Here is a 16,601-nt window from a genome sequence, read left to right as displayed (position 1 = left end):
ACCAGTGCTGGGCTGGTAGGCAGGAGCTCTGCTTTGCAGTTAAATAGGAATGTGGCTGAAGACTGCTGCCATAATCAATGCCCACATCCGGCTGTCACAGCGTGTTCATAAAGGAAGGTTATGAGAGCTATAAAACCAGGCAGATTGGGTGGGTAATTGTCCTACCGAGCTCTGCTAAAGGAGAAATTGCATTGGCATCTCATATATTTCGCTTTCTTTCCTTCCAAACACACAAAGTGGAGAGGGCAGAGCTACCCTGAAGATTCATGAAAAGGAAAGATAGGGTGTGTGTGTGTGTGTGTGTGTGTGTGTGTATGTGTGTGTGTGAATGTGCATGTGTGCTTTCAGAGAAGAGACAAGAAGTAACTGAGGACAGGGAGCTATGCAGACCTTTGGGGAGAGAGGGACCAATAATCTGGTGATGACTGGATTCAGATTAGTCCAGGTAGAAGGCAGGATTTATGTGGAAGGCCAGCCATTATAAATAAGGCTGTGAGGTAAGCCATATTTTCATGTCCTGTTGAACAAGTGGTCAACTTTTTGGGCTATAGGTCTTTCAATGACCTTTGGAGAAAAACCTAGATGAAGATTTTGTTTCCAACTTAAAAATCCTTCATAGTCAACCTTTTTGACTTCCATCCTTTTAAATTCTGAATTAATTTTGATGGGTTGATTTATGTTTTTTTTACCTGTAATATCAACTATTTTTCTACTTTTTTGTTTCTTCTTGCAAAGACAAAATTATTGAGAATAATAACAAAAAATAAAAGGGAACATTTCTAGAAAAAAAGATGCAGCTAGATGGAAAGCAAAGGACTAGGGGAAGTCCATTAGCTCTGAGTTTGACCTCATAACTTAAAGCTGACCTCAAGTGACACCAGGTCCCCAAGCTTCTTCCCTGCCTTTCTCTTTATCCTCCATCTCTCCTCTCATTCCTGCTTCCCTCCTTGATGCTTTCTGCCTCTAAGACTGCTCTTTTTCTTTCTCCCTGAACAGGGAGAAAAACCACCAGTAGAGAAATATCTAGTCATTTGTTCAGTTAGTCAGTCACTCAGTCAATCAACATTTACGAAACATCTATCATGTGCCAGACTCTGTTCAGATGCTGCAGATAAAGTCAGAACAATAGAGATTCCTGCCTGCCTAAAGCTTACAGTCTAGAGGAGAAGAATGACAAGTACTATATGTATACTTGGTCACATGTCTGGGGGCAGCTAACATAGCCTAGGGGGTCAGGAAGAGTACTAGAGATAGCTGTATTCTCTCTGGCTGATCCTAAGGGCTTAGAGTAGAGGAGGGACCCCTCCTCCATCCCTGCACTCCTCTTGCTGCTATGTACTAGCTACCCAATTAGAGTGGGGCTCTTCAGTTGTCCTTGTTATTTCTCAAAAGCATAGTTGGATTGGCAAGGATGTGGAGAAATTGGAACCCTCATACACTGCTGGTGGGAATGTAAAATGGTGCAGCTGCTTTGGAAAACCGTCTGGCAGTTCCTCAAATGATTAAACACAGAGTTACTTTATGACTCAGCAATTCCAGTCCTAGGTATGTACCCAAGAGAAATTAAAGCCCGTCACACAAAAGCCTATACAGAAATGTTTACAGCAGCATTATTCATAATAGCCCTCCAAAACCAAACGTTCATTACTTGATGAATGGATAAACAAAATGTGGCATATCCACACAATGGACTATTACTTGGCCATAAAAGGGAATTAATCCTGTAATCCCAGCACTTTGAAGAGGCTAAGGCAAGAGGATTGCTTGAGCCCAGGAGTTCAAGACCAGCCTGGGCAACATAGAGATGGGACCCCATCTCTACAAAAAATAAAAAAATTAGGTGGGCATGGTGATACACAACTGTAGTCCCAGCTACTTTAGGGGGCTAAGGTGAGAGGATTGCTTAAGCCTGGGAGATTGAGGCTGCAGTGAGCTGTGATCATGCCATTGCACTCCAGCCTGAGTGACAGTGAAACTCTGTCTCAAAAAAAAAAAAAAAAAAAAAAGAGGCCAGGCGTGATGGCTCACACCTGTAATCCTAGCACTTTGGCAGGCTGAGGCAGGCGGATCACTTGAGGTCAGGAGTTTGAGACCAGCCTGGCCAACATGGTGAAACCCCATCTCTACTAAAAATACAAAATATTAGCTGGGTGTGGTGGCTTGTGCATGTAGTCCCAGCTACTTGGGAGGCTGAGGCAGGAGAACGGCTTGAACCCGGGAGGCGGAGATTGTAGCAAGCAGAGATGGAGCCACTGCACTTCAGCCTGGCAACAGAGCAAGACTCTGTCTCAAAAGAAAAAAAGAAAAAAATGAATCATGTACTGATTCATGCTATAACATAGATGAACCTTGAAAACATTAAGATAGGCAGGGTGCAGTGGCTCACGCCTGTAATCCCAGCACTTTGGGAGGCCGAGGCGGGTGGATCACAAGGTCCAGAGATCGAGACCATCCTGGCTAACACAGTGAAATCCCGTCTCTACTGAAAAATAGAAAAAATTAGCCAGGCATGGTGGCAGGAGCCTGTAGTCCCAGCTACTCAGAAGGCTGAGGCAGGAGAATGGCGTGAACCCAGGAGGCGGAGCTTGCAGTGAGCCGAGATTGTGCCACTGCACTCCAGCCTGGGCAACAGAGCGAGACTCCATCTAAAAAAAAAAGAAAGAAAAGAAAACATTAAGATAAAGAAGCTAGTCACAAAATGTCACATATCGTTTGATCCCGTTCATATGAAAGTCCAGAATAGGAAAATCTGTAGAGACAGGAAGTAGATTGGGGTGGCTTAGGGTTGAGTGGGGGACAAGGTGATAGCTAAGGGGCTTGGAGTTTCTTTTTGATGTGATGAAAATGTTCTGAAATTGTGACAATGGTTGCACGTAGCTGTGACTATAATAAAAACCATTGAATTGCACTCCTTAAATGTGTAGGTTTTAGGGTGTGTGAATTATATCTCAATAAAACTGTTTAAATAACAACAATGAAAAGCATGTGGGGCCGGGTATGGTGGCTCACTCCTGTAATCCCAGCATTTTGGGAGGCTGAGGTGGGAGGATCACTTGAGCCCAGGAGCACAAGACCAGCCTGGACAACATAGCAAGACTCTGTCTCTATGTATTAAAAAATAAATAAATAAAATAAAACAAAATACGGCCGGGTGCGGTGGCTCACGCCTGTAATCCCAGTACTTTGGGAGGTCAGGAGATTGAGACCATTCTGGCTAACACAGTGAAACCCCATCTCTACTAAAAATACAAAAAATTAGCCAGGTGTGGTGGCAGGTGCCTGTAGTCGCAGTTACTCTAGAGGCTGAGGCAGGAGAATGGTGTGAACCCGGGAGGCAGAGCTTGCAGTGAGCCAATATCACGCCACTGCACTCCAGCCTGGGCAACGGAGTGAGACTCCGTCTCAAAATAAAATAAAATAAAATAAAATAAAATAAAATAAAATAAAATAAAATAAACACACACACACACAGTTATAAAAGAAAGCAGCATACTTGAGAGCCTGAAAAAAATCTGTAATTCTGCTTGTAATTGTGGGCTGCATGGTCACTGTCAATTTTTTTTTTGAAGTGGAGTCTCACTCACTCTGTCACCCAGGCTGGAGTGCAGTGGCATGATCACTGCAACCTCTGCCTCCTGGGTTCAAGCGATTCTCTTGCCTCAGCCTCCCGAGTAGCTGGGATTACCGGTGTGCACCACCATGCTCAGCTAATTTTTGTATTTTTTGTAGAGACCAGGTTACACCATGTTGTCCAGGCTGGTCTCCAACTCCTGGGCTCAAGTGATCTGCCCGCCTCAGCCTCCCAAAGAGCTGGGATTAAGACATGAGCCACCACATCCGGCCTGTCATTGTCAATTTTAAGGACTAAAATAAAAAGGACTTTGTATTCTGAGTCCTGTGGCCTCTCAGAGCTCTGTTCTCTATCTATGGAAAAACTGAAGACATTTGGCCAGCAGCACAGATGCAAAGGGGTGGACTGGGCATTCCCATGCTTTTCTTCCATAACTCAACCCCCTCACTGTGACTCAGTTTAACATGTATGGCATACCTGCTATGTAGAAGGCATGTGGGACCTGAAAGAGCCACAGTCTATTTATTCCCTCTAATGTTTGAAATTGTTATTAACATATTGCCTTCTGTTTAAACAAACAAAGCTCTTTAGACAATAGGCAATGTGATACAAAGCATAGTTGCCAGGCAGCCTGGGACTGTGGGCTCCCTCTACAGCATGAAGGGAAACATCATCGTGACACCAGCTAGAGTAAGATCAATTCCCAGTCCTTCTTGGAGTTGAACAAGTTCCAGGACTTGGTTCCTTCCTCACATGCCTTCAATCACCTCTTCATTTGGTTTCTAGCTCAATTTGTTAGTCTATTTCCATACCCCTCATTTTCTCACCAGCCCCACCCCCACAATGTCCAAATTGGCCCTCCAATACTGAAACCATTTGCCGGAAATTCATTAAACTGAACACATGGGAAATTACAGAGGAGATTTCACTTGTCGCTTAAGCTCAAATATAGAAAGTAATTTTAAAAGGACAGTGGTGGTGAGAGGCTATTTTTATCTTGCTTGTTTGTGCTGAGTTTTCTTATCTTGCTGTCTCTCGTTCTTTTCCTGGCTACCTCTCTTCTTCTTTGCTTCTTCTTTAAACTAAACATTGACCCTTTTAAATCTTTGTCAGGTTGGTTCTCTTACCTTGTTTTTAGAGTCTTTGTCTGACTTCATCATTCATTCATTGAACCAATATTGAGTATCTGCCATGTGGCAGGCCCTGTGCTAGGCTCTAGGAGGGATACAATGATAAATAAAACAGACATAGTCCTTACCTTTATGGAGATTACAATGGACATCAGGTAGAGTGAGTTCAGATTTGGTCACAGGAAAGCCTCCAGGTAGGCCTGCCCTGGCCCAGCTCAAACAGATACTTTAAGAAAAGGAGATTCTGCTGCTCTCTCAGGCATCCACTTGATGGAGTTACTTGCATCTTTGTGGTGCTAAGTTTACCAAATAGTAAATAGGCATGTAAAATAGCCAGAACCTCAGCATGTTTATTGGACAATAAACCAAATATCTCACAGCAATGTAAGGAAACTAAAGACCTAGGTTTCTGTGTGATATATACAAGCTCCCTGGGTAGAGAGAACATGAACCTAGGAGTCAGATGTGGATTTGATTCTGACTCCACCACTTACATGTTAGCTGTTTGACTTTTAGGTACATGACCTCTGGCCTCAGTTCCATCACCTATAAAATGGGAATAGTAATCTCTATATTTTAGAGCTGTCGTGAGGATTAAATGAGATGTCATATATAAGAGATCAGGCAGGTACTCAATGCATGTTGCTTCCTTTCCATTACTTCCCTATCCTACACTTGAATCCCACAATTTAAAATAAATAAATAACCAACCTGGGCAACACAGTGAGACCTCGTCTCTATTTATTTAAATAAATAAGTAAGTAGAGATATAAAGATAAATAGATAAATAAATATAAAGCCTAGTCTCCCAATTGACTGGAAATGAGGAGTCTCAAGTGATATTCACCAATTATACGACCAGAGAAATGGGTTGTTTCTATATTGTTTACTATACATTGCACTATGCATGCAACTTATGACAGATCACTGTCTTATTCTGGGATAAGAGAAAGGCAAAAAAAAAAACCCCGAAATTATAGGAAAAAGACTGAAATGAGATATAACAAAGGACTTCCTCACCATGAGGGCTAGAAATATAAGTGGATGCCTGAGAGAGCTGCAAAATCTCCTTTTCTAAGAGCATCTGTTTTGGCTGGCCCAGGGCAGGCCTACCTGGAGGTCAAGAATAAACCTGATGGCCTCTTCATGTCCCACTTAGCCTAAGGAATCCTTTCAGGAGGAATTGCTGGTCCTCTTCCTTTTCCAAGCCAGGCGTGCTTCCAAGGCTTATTGCTCAAAAGGAAAGGAAAAAAATGGCAGCTGCCATTTCAGGCACTTAATAAGTACACTAAATTAAGAAATTGCTGATTTGGAGGCCGGGCGCGGTGGCTGACGCCTGTAATCCCAGCACTTTGGGAGGCCAAGGTGGGCGGATCACGAGGTCAGGAGATCGAGACCATCCTGGCTAACACGGTGAAATCCCGTCTCTACTAAAAATACAAAAACTTAGCCGGGCGAGGTGGCGCGTGCCTGTAGTCCCAGCTACTCAGGAGGCTGAGGCAGGAGAATGGCGTGAACCAGGGAGGCAGAGCTTGCGGTGAGCAGAGATCGCGCCTTTGCACTCCAGCCTGGGCAACAGAGCGAGACTCCGTCTCGAAAAAAAAAAAGAAAGAAATTGCTGATTTGTTTTACCTGATTCCTCCTCTCTGATAAGGAAGAAATATCGATTTAATTTTTTTTTGAGGAAATAAAACAACCAAGTGCAAAAAAAAAAAAAAAAAAAAAAGGAAGAAATATCTTCAATCAGAGATTCCTCGAAGTTGAAAAGGAAGCCTGAGCTCCAACTGCGGAAATTGGCAGAGGTCACACTTAAAGGAACAAGCAGGGCTCGGCAGGCAGCGCTAGGATTCTAGGATTCTCTCTCCCACCCCATCCGTAGGAGATCTCAGGCTGCCTTTATTTATTTATTTATTTATTTATTTTTGAGATGGAGTTTCGCTTTCGTTGCCCAGGCTGGAGTACAATGGTGTGATCTCGGCTCATGGCAACCTCTGCCTCCCAGGTTTAAGCAATTCTCCTGCCTCAGCCTCCCAAGTAGCTGGGATTACAGGCATGCGCTACCACACCTGGCTAATTTTGTATTTTTAGTAGAGATGGGGTTTCTCCGTGATGGTCAGGCTGGTCTCGAGCTCCCAACCTCAGGTGATCTGCCCACCTTGGCCTCCCAAAGTGCTGGGATTACAGGCGTGAGCCACCGTGCCAGACCTGCCTTTTTTCTACAGTTATTTGCAAAGGGGATTAGTTTAGTTGTCCTTTTCTCCCTTCACCACCATTTTTGTTTCTTCTTCTTATTTTCCTTGCTCTTCTTTTCCTTTCTTCCTCTCTTGTGCCACCTCCTTTTCTATTTTCTCCTCCTCCTTCTTCCCTCCTCCAATCTCCATTTCAGCTGCTGGATCTCATTGCCCAACCCACTGGAATTTCTGTTCCAAGAACGTTAGCACTCCTTCTTGATCTAAAGTAACAATAGGCCGAGCGTGATGGTTCATGCCTGTAATCCCAGCACTCTGGGAGACTGAGGTGGGCAGATCACCTGAGGTCAGGAGTTTGAGACCAGCCTGGCCAACGTGGTGAAAACATGTCTCTGTCTCTACTAAAAATACAAAAATTAGCTGGGCGTGGTCGCAGGCTCCTGTAATCCCAGCTAATCGGGAGGCTGAGGCATGAGAATCTCTTGAACTTGGGAGGCGGAGGTTGCAGTGAGCCAAGATTGTGCCACTGCACTCCAGCCTGGGTGACAGCAAAAGACTTTGTCTCAAAAAAAAATAATAAATTATAAACTAACAGTACTATTCTGATAATAAAGATAATGCTCTGTATTTGTATAGAGCAAGTTTTCCCAATGTATAGTTAGGTGCACTGGGAGTAGATATTTATGTGCAGGATTTTCAGAGCCTGTCATGTGCTAATGTGAGTTGCGAATGTCCAGCAGGAGTTAGAATATGGGAACTCACATTTTGCAAACCTCTTTGACCTTTCTTTTTCTTCATACCCTGGGATAACTGGTCTTTGGAACACATTTCAGAAACACTTACATCATGTGTTAGACTCTTTAAAAATGCTGTAACATTTGTCATCTTATTTGATCCCTACAACTACTCTATGATAAGACAAGGAAGTTATATTAGTCTTGCTTTACAGACGAGTAAAACAGACCCAGAGAGGTTACATGCCTGGCTCATGGTCACATAGCTGGCCAACAAGCAACAAGTCTGGGTCTCCTTTTTTTTTTTTTTTTGGAGACATAGGCTGGCTCTGTCCCCCAAGCTGGCGTGCAGTGGTGTGATCTTAGCTCACTGCAACCTCCACCTCCTGGGTTCAAGCTATTCTCCTGCCTCAGCCTCCCTAGTAGCTGGTATTTAGGCACCCACCACCATGCCCAGGTAATTTTTGTATTTTTAGTAGAGACGGGGTTTCACCATGTTGACCAGGCTGGTCTCGAACTCCTGACCTCAAGTGATCTGCCTGCCTCGGCCTCCCAAAGTGCCGGGATTACAGGCGTGAGCCACCATGCCTGGCTGGATCTTCTTATTTATGGCCCTTGTATCTGCACTGCCTTGTACTGCATTTAAATACAACATATATGTCAACTATCATACTATGGCATATGATATATAACATGGAATCTAGAAGATATAAATGGCAAATTATGACATTCATTTTTTTCCCATTCAACTAAATATATTGCATATCTCCCATATGCTTGTCACCATTCCAGATGCTAAGAATAGAACATTAACTAAAATAGACAAAAACACAAATTCTTGCCTTCATGGAGCTTACATTCTAGTGGAGGAAGACAGAAATTACAAGATAAATATGTAAAAGATATTTTATTACATGTTATATAACTATAAGGGCTAAGAATACAGTAGCGAAAAAAAAGGAAGATGTAGGAGTTACTATACAAGGAGTGAAGAGTGTCAAGACAGGCTATACTGAGGAGGTGACATTTGAATGAAGACTTGAAGGAGATAAAGAAGTTACCATGCAGAGATTTTGGGGTTGGTTGAGTGGGAGGGAGTTCCATCAGAGAGAAAAGCAAATTCAACGGGTCTGTGGCAGACTGAGCCAAGGGTGAGACTAAGCCGGCGGGGAGGCAGGGTGGTAAGAGATGAGGTTAGAGAGATTAAGGGGGTGGAGTCCAGACACCAGACTTTATAAGGAAAAGAAGTGATATAATGCAGATGATATACCATGATATAATAATAATACCATACAACAAATTTATTATGTTGCTGCAAAACAAATTATCCCAAAACTTCAAGAACTTAAAGTAACAAATGTTTATTTCATACAGTTTCTGGGGGTCAGGATTGGGGAGCAGCTCAGCTAAGCTGGCTCAGGGTCACTCATGAGGTTGTAGTCAAGCCGTCCACTAGGGCTGCAGTCATCTGAGGCCCTGATGAGGGCCAGAGGATCTGCTACCAAGATGGCTCACTTGGCTGTTGATAGAAGGCCTAGTTCCTTATCACATGACCTTCCACAGCACTGTTCACTACATGGCAACTGGCTTGCCCCAGAGTGAGTGATCAGATGACAGAGTGACCAAGAAAGAAGCCACAGTGTCTTTTATAACCTAATCTTGTATGTTACATATGATTACTTCTGTCATATTCTATTGGTCACACAGACAAACCCTGGTACCATATGGGAGAGGGGATTTACAAGTGCATGAATATCAGTACATGGACAGCATTGGGGATGGATCATCCTGGAGGCTGGTTACCACACTGGCTTGTAGAAAATTTCCTCAGAATAACCATTTCTTCAAGAAATACCAACAAATATGTGGCCCCTAAAATACTAGAGTTCCCAACCCTATCTGGGTTGGAGCCTGAACGAGGACAGTCCAAAGAGCAGGGGCTTCAAAAACTGCTGAGAGTCTGAAGATTTTATTTCAATTCTGCATGAGCATGCTTTTTTCTTCAAAGCCCCACTTCCTCTAGGCCTGGCCTCATTATTTCATTCAGCCAATTAACTCAACTTGTAATAATCTTAGTTAAACCTGCAAATTAAAAAAAAAAAAAAGCAAAAGAAAAGAAAAGACAAAAATAAACCCTTTGAGGAAATCTATAGAACTTCAGAGGCAGCCTGGACCTCTCTCGGTAATTTAACCTTGAGATGACACTGAACTTTGCGAAGGGCAGAGCAGACCCACCCATCCCCCTAAAATCCCTAGGTCTCTTCTTGTCGAAGAGAGGCATCTTGTCTAGTCTAAGAAGAATGACTGAGGACAGACTATTTGCTCTGTCCCGGAAGGCCAGTACTGGATTTATCCAGAAACAAAAAACATGGCTCTCCTGAGACCCAGGGCGGGCCTCTTGCCCAGCCCCCACCAGACTCAGCCTTGGCTGTGCAGCCCATCAGCCAGTTTCCTAAGCTGAGCAGCAGATGGCATCCCAGCCTCAGGAGCGAGCAGCTGAGGTTTCTAGAAAGAGCAGCATCACTGTAAGGAACTCAGACTGCGGCTTGGCATCTGGGAGCCCTGCCTCCCCAGCTCCCAGCTCAGGGAAGTTTCTGCTCTGTGCCTACAGATTAGGATACTGTTAGGCCAGTGTCTCAGAGAGTAGGGCCTGAAGCCCCTAGTCAGGAAACAGATGGTGAACACAGGGTCTTTTCTGAGAAAGATAAAAATCAGTGGTTTCTGCAATTATATAAGCACTAAAAAAAATTTTTTTAAACGAAGAAAACCAGTGGCTGCTGTTCTCAGACAGGCTGTTTTTCCTTCACTTGCCCTTTGCTTGAGAGGGTCCACAATGACTATATCTTGGTCTGGGGGCTGGCAGGTCCCTGGCGGGAGCCTCCTGGGATGGCCAGATGGAGCCAAAGACAACTTGAGGGATCAGTGGGCTACTGAAAGCATCTAGGGAATTCCAAGGGTTCAAAATTGAATATTTTTTTTCCCCTGATGACCCAAATGAAGAGCTATACCCCAGAGCTGACCGCCAATGACGCAGGCAGGGCTCAGTCCTGCAGGCCTTGTTTCTGTGCCTCAATCTTACTCCCTCTCCTTATGCTCCTCCTCCTCTCTGTTCCATTTTTTCTCTCCTTCCTTTTTCCTCTATCATTTCTATCCTTTTACGTCTTTCACTGTGTGGCTCTATTTCTTTCTTCTGCTCCAGTGTAGGAAAGAAAGCTGATTACCAAACTGCCTCGGCAAAGTGGCCATGGGCATTGAGCCACACACAATTCCCTGTCTTTAGGGACTCAGACCTTGTCTATACTTGCCTCTCTCTCCCTTCCTCATTTCTTCCCTCCCTGCTGCTGATACCTGATGGCCAGTCCCAAGGAGACCTGGACAAAGAGAGGTCCAGAGGTCACCAAGAAAATCTACTCTCCCCCCACAGAACCTGTACTCCCTGCTTTGTAGCTCCTGACAGGAAATACTCCAGAGGCTTCCCAGTAGGGCTGAGGTCCACTGAGCCTCCTGTTCACTGAGCACTCACTGTTTGCCACTAAAATGTGAGCTTGAGGGCAGGGCCCTGTCTACCTTGTTCACTGCTATACCCACCATATCTAGCACACAGTAGATACTCAAGAAATAATTGTTAAAAAATAATGAGTGGGGGATGGAAAGATGAATGTTGAGCACTGTATTAAGTATTAGGGGCACAGGGCTGGGCGTGGTGGCTCACGCCTGTAATCCCAGCACTTTGGGAGGCCGAGGTGGGCAGATCACAAGGTCAGGAGATCGAGACCATCCTGGCTAACATGGTGAAACCCCGTCTCTACTAAAAATACAAAAAATTAGCCAGGTGTGGTGGCATGCACCTGTGGTCTCAGCTACTTGGGAGGCTGAGGCAGGAGAATCGCTTGAACCTGGGAGGCTGAGGTTGCAGTGAGCCGAGCCAAGATTGTGCCACTGCACTCCAGCCTAGGCAACAGAGCGAGACTCTGTCTAAAAAAAAAAAGTATTAGGGGTACAAACATTAAAGGTGCAATCCCAGTCCATAAAGAGAAGAACACCCAGACAATCAGTCACCTATGATCTGGAACAGTAACTATGAGAATGATGGTGGTAGAAGCTGCAGCAGTGCCTGAGTATGTGCTGTGAAGACAGGGAATGCTTGGTTCACTCACTAATTCAACAATTATTCATAAAGAGCCTACTAGACTCTGGGCTAAGCAAGGAATAAGGTAGGTCCTTGTCCTCAAGGAGCTCCCAGTTGGATGTGGGAGACATATGAGTAAATAAATAAGCAGTTAACAGGATCACTGCTGTATTGGGAAAAATACTGGGCAGTAAGAGCAGGAAGCAGAGGCAGCTCACTGAGTCTGGGGAAGGGCTTATAGTGAAGTGAGTTCAGGCTAAGACCTACCTGAAGGGTCAGTAGAAGTTAGCTAGGAGAAGAAGAGAGAGAGTTCCAAGCCAAGGGAACATCACGTAGGGTCAAGACAGGCAAGTTTCAGGCCGGGTGCGGTAGCTCACGCCTGTAATCCCAGCACTTCGGGAGGCTGAGGCGGGTGGATCATCTGAGGTCTGGAGTTCAAGACCAGCCTGGCCAACATGGTGAAACCCCGTCTCTACTAAAAATACAAAACATTATCCAGGCATGGTGGCGTGCACCTGTAATCCCAGCTACTTGGGAGGCTGAGGCAGAAGAATCGTTTGAACCTAGGAGGCGGAGGTTGCAGTGAGCAGAAATTGCACCATTATACTCCAGCCTGGGGAACAAGAGCAAAACTCCGTCTCAAAAAAAAAAAAAAAGAGAGGCAAGTTTCAAGGAGCTGAGAAAATGTGTCAGGAACTCTGGCTGAGGTACCAGTAGGGTAGTAAGTGGGGCCAGAAAACAAGAAGCAAGAGAAGTGGGTGGGAGTGAGGTAGAAGAGCCCAAACTGGGTTAAGGGGTCATGACTTTACCTTTAGGGCAGGGGAAACCATATAAGAGTTTTAAGGAGAGTGATACAATCAAGTTTGCATTTTAGAAAGTAGACCAGGTGAGGTGGCTCATGCCTGCAATCCCAGCCCTTTGGAAGATTGAGGTGGGAGGATTGCTTGAGTCAAGGAGTTCAAGACCAACTTTGGCAACAGTGCAAGAGCCCATCTCTACAAAAAAATTTTTTTGAAAGAGTGAGGCATGGTGGCATGCACCTGTAGTCCTAGCTACCCTGGAGGCTGAGGCAGGAGGATCGTTTAATCCCAGGAGTTCAAGGTTTCAGTGAGCTATAATCATGCCACTTCATTCCAGCCTGGGTGACAAAGCCAGACCCTGTCTCTAAAAGAATTACTCTGGGTGCAGTATGAAAAATGGATGGGGTAGGGCCAGAGTGGCAGTCCTAGAGATGAGTTAGGGAGTAGTCCAGGCAAGAAATGATGATCTGAGTGATGATGATATTGGTGGGGAGAGAGGTCATATTTGAGTTGAGATTGAGGATAGTTAGGAATTTTCCTGGTCTAAAACGTAGGGGGAATACTGGCATTCCAGAGAGAGAAAATATACATACAAAGGTTTCAAGAACTTGTCATGTTCTGGGAAGCACATGTGATTATGTATTTAGAGATGAGGTAAGAAGGAGCCAACCTTTGCTGAAGAATTTGGGAAGCCCAGGGTGAAGCCAAAGCCATTTTGTTAGAGCTGGGGAAGGAGAGAGAAGGTATGGCGATCTTCCGCAGTTACCCAAAATACCCAGAGGGGTTCCAGAGGGTCATGATCCATCCAGGCATTTTCAGAACACACATATCACCCAGGACCCAGAACACAAGAGCAAACAATGTCCAAGGAAGTAAAGTAGGGCCTGGAAACGGGAGTAAGCAAGTGAACTAAGAAAATAAGTAAGGAGAATCGGGAGAGACCATCTGCCAAGCACAAAGAGGTGGGTAAGACTGAGTGAGATGGACCCCATCAGAACCTGGAAATCCCTCCTGCAGAGCTGCCCAGCCCCAGGACTCAATCTTTACTCTTCTGCCTCCAGATCTCAAAGGTGCCTTGATAGATATCTCTAATCTGTGGCCGGGTGCAATGGCTCACGCCTGTAATCCCAGCACTTTGGGAGGCCGAGATGGGTGGATCACCTGCGGTCAGGAGTTCAAGACCAACCTGGCCAAAATGGTGAAACCCCATCTCTACTAAAAATACAAAAATTAGCCGGGCATGGTGGTGGGTGCCTGTAATCCCAGCTACTTGAGAGGCTGAGGCAGGAGTATCACTTGAACCCGGGAGGCGGAGGTTGCAGTGAGCCAAGATTGCACTGTTGCACTCCAGCCTGGGTGACAGAGTCAGACTCTGTCTCAAAAAAAAAAAAAAAAGAAGAGGAAAGAAAAATACCTAATTTGTTCTCCAAAGAAGAGAGTTAGAAATGGATAGAGAGGATAGACCAAAATTAGTATAATGGTTATAAAACTGGGCTCTGCTTCTTCCTTGATCTGTGACTTAGGGCAAATAACTTACTGAACCCGTTTCATCACCCATGGGTACTAAAAGTTTAAAATGAGGTAATGTGAACAGAAAGCTGACATAATGAAGGCTCTCAAGAAATCTTTGGTGTTACTAAGATTTTGGTATGAGCCAGATGAGAAAAGGTGTGCAAAGCAGCAAGGACTGAGTGGAAAGGGAGTGAGTTCCAGCATGCTCAAATCCTTCAATGGCTTCCATAGCCTACAAAGCAAAACCCTCCACCAAGGCTGGTTCCTGCCTACCTGTCCTTCCTCATCACCCACTGTTTACAACCTCACTTTACAGACTGTTTTATCACCTTTTGTGATTCCCAGAACATACCATGCTCTTCAAGCCTTTGCACAAGCTGTTCTTCTGGAAAGAAAATGGCCCCTCAAACCTGTCTTCAGCGCCAAATATCAGGGAGCCTACAGAGCCCTAGAGCAGGAGTTAGGAAGGAACTCAGAGTATGTATATTGTGAGAGGAGCACCATGCACTAAGGAGAAGGAGGCACCCAAGCAAGTTAATATGGCTCAAATAAACATTTGACAGAGTACTTAGGTGAGACAGAGGGACAGGCAGGCAGGTTTTCGGCAGGCTTGTCTTGGTAGTGAGGCTAAGACTAGAAGAGAAGAAGGAAAGTGGAAAGGTTTAGGGAAGCCCCAGCATAGCCCTGGCCTTCCACCTCCTTCCCTGTTTTCTCCCTCCTTCCTTCCATTAGGGGCCAAGTTCTCTGGGCAGTAACTGTAAGCCTGGGAGTGTAGCCCAAATACCCACTTTTTCCTTTTAGGAGGCTCTACTAAAGCACCAGGATACAAAGGTCCAGTTATCTGGAAAGTGCTTTAGAAAGACATGTGCAAAAGGGCCGGGCACGGTGGCTCATGCCTGTAATCCTAGCACTTTGGGAGGCTGAGGCAGGTGGATCACAAGGTCAAGAGATCGAGACCATCCTGGCTGACATGGTGAAACCCCACCTCTACTAAAAATTAAAAAAAAAAAATAGCTGGGCGTGGTGGCACACGCCTGTAGTTCCAGCTACTCAGGAGGCTGAGGCAGGAGAATTGCTTGAACCTGGGAGGTGGAGGTTGCAGTGAGCTGAGATCGCGCCACTGCACTCCAGCCTGGTGATAGAGCGAGACTCCGTCTCAAAAAAACAAAAACAAAAACAAAAAAAGAAAGAAAGACATGTGCAAAGGACTGTGGAAGCCAGGAAGAAGGTATAGCTGTCCCAGCCTAGGGGAACCTGGAAAGGCTTCACAGAGAAGGGGAGCTTGGCCTTGGAAAAAGAGGAGATTATCAAATGGGAAAGGGTTTCCAGGTGATGAGCACAACATGAATGGAGTCAGGTTGTGCTTGGTCCCTGGACATGGAGGAAAAGAAGGAAAGGAGAGGGAGAGAGGGAGAGTAGTTTTTTTTTTTTTTTTTTTTTTTTTTGAGACAAAGTCTTGCTCCTTCGCCTAGGCTGGAGTGCAGTGGTGGGATCTTGACTCACTACAACCTCCACATGCCAAGTTCAAGCGACTCTTGTGCCTCAACCTCCCAAGTAGCTGAGATTACAGGCATGTGCCACCACATCTGGCTAATTTTTGTATTTTTAGTAGAGACAGGATTTTGCCATGTTGGGCAGGCTGCTCTCGAACTCCTGACCTCAAGGGATCTGCACGACTCTGCCTCCCAAAGTGTTAGGATTACAGGCGTGAGCCACCGCATCCGGCCTAGATTCTTCACTCCCTCTCCTTTCCTCCATCTCCAGAACTGAGCTCTCCTTGCTTCTCTCTGTCCTGGCTCATCCTTAGACTCATTGATGATGATGATGATGATGATGATGATGATGATGATAATTATTATTTTGAGACAGGGTCTCACTCTGTTATCCAGGCTGGAGTGCAGTGGCACAATCATGGCTCTTGAACTCCTGGGCTCAAGCAATCCTCCCACCTTAGCCTCCCCAGTAGCTGGGGTACAGACATGTGCCACCATGTCTGGCTAGTTTTTGAAATTTTTAGTAGAGACAGGGTCTCCCTCGTTGCCCAGGCTGGTCTTGAACTCCTGGGCTCAAGCGATCCTCCCACCTCAGCCTCCCAAAGTGCTGGGATTACAGGCATGAACCACTGTGCCCAGATAGAATCATTGATTATTAGAGCTGAAAGAAATCTTAGTGATTTTGTAGGTCATTCCAATCTTTGAATCTTGCAGTTGTGGAAATGGAGACCCAGGGGAAAGAAGAGGCTTGTTTAAGGTCTCTCAGTGGATGAGGAACTTAGACCCAGAACTCAGAGTTTCAGACTCGTCTCTGCTCACATTTCCCAGGGCCACATTGCCTCACTCACATTCGCCCCATCATTTATCCCCCAACCTCAGGGGCTGGGTTTTTTTTTCCAGGTGAGGGCAGAAAATGAATTTTTACCTAACATTGTTATCTAATGATAATAAATACAACTATCCTTTATTGAACGTTTACTGTATGTTGGGCACAGTGTAGATGCTGGAGACACAAACAGAACAAAGACTTTACTCTCATGTAG

At 45.1% G+C, this 16,601-nt stretch overlaps 2 annotated features.

Annotated features, from left to right (window-relative positions):
• Positions 4,125-4,174: a silencer, noted in NCBI's record as "silent region_16406". NCBI's record gives its function as "represses an Ori minimal core promoter by ATAC-STARR-seq in GM12878 lymphoblastoid cells {active_cell/tissue: GM12878}" and the evidence as "EXISTENCE:reporter gene assay evidence [ECO:0000049][PMID:35858748]".
• Positions 10,196-10,265: an enhancer, noted in NCBI's record as "active region_23217". NCBI's record gives its function as "activates an Ori minimal core promoter by ATAC-STARR-seq in GM12878 lymphoblastoid cells {active_cell/tissue: GM12878}" and the evidence as "EXISTENCE:reporter gene assay evidence [ECO:0000049][PMID:35858748]".

This window comes from Homo sapiens, chromosome 5 (assembly GCF_000001405.40).
Source record: "Homo sapiens chromosome 5, GRCh38.p14 Primary Assembly".
In the NCBI taxonomy this organism is placed as follows: Eukaryota; Metazoa; Chordata; class Mammalia; order Primates; family Hominidae; genus Homo; species Homo sapiens.
Note: the sequence above shows the minus strand (reverse complement) of the source record. Positions and strands in the feature narration are given on the sequence as shown.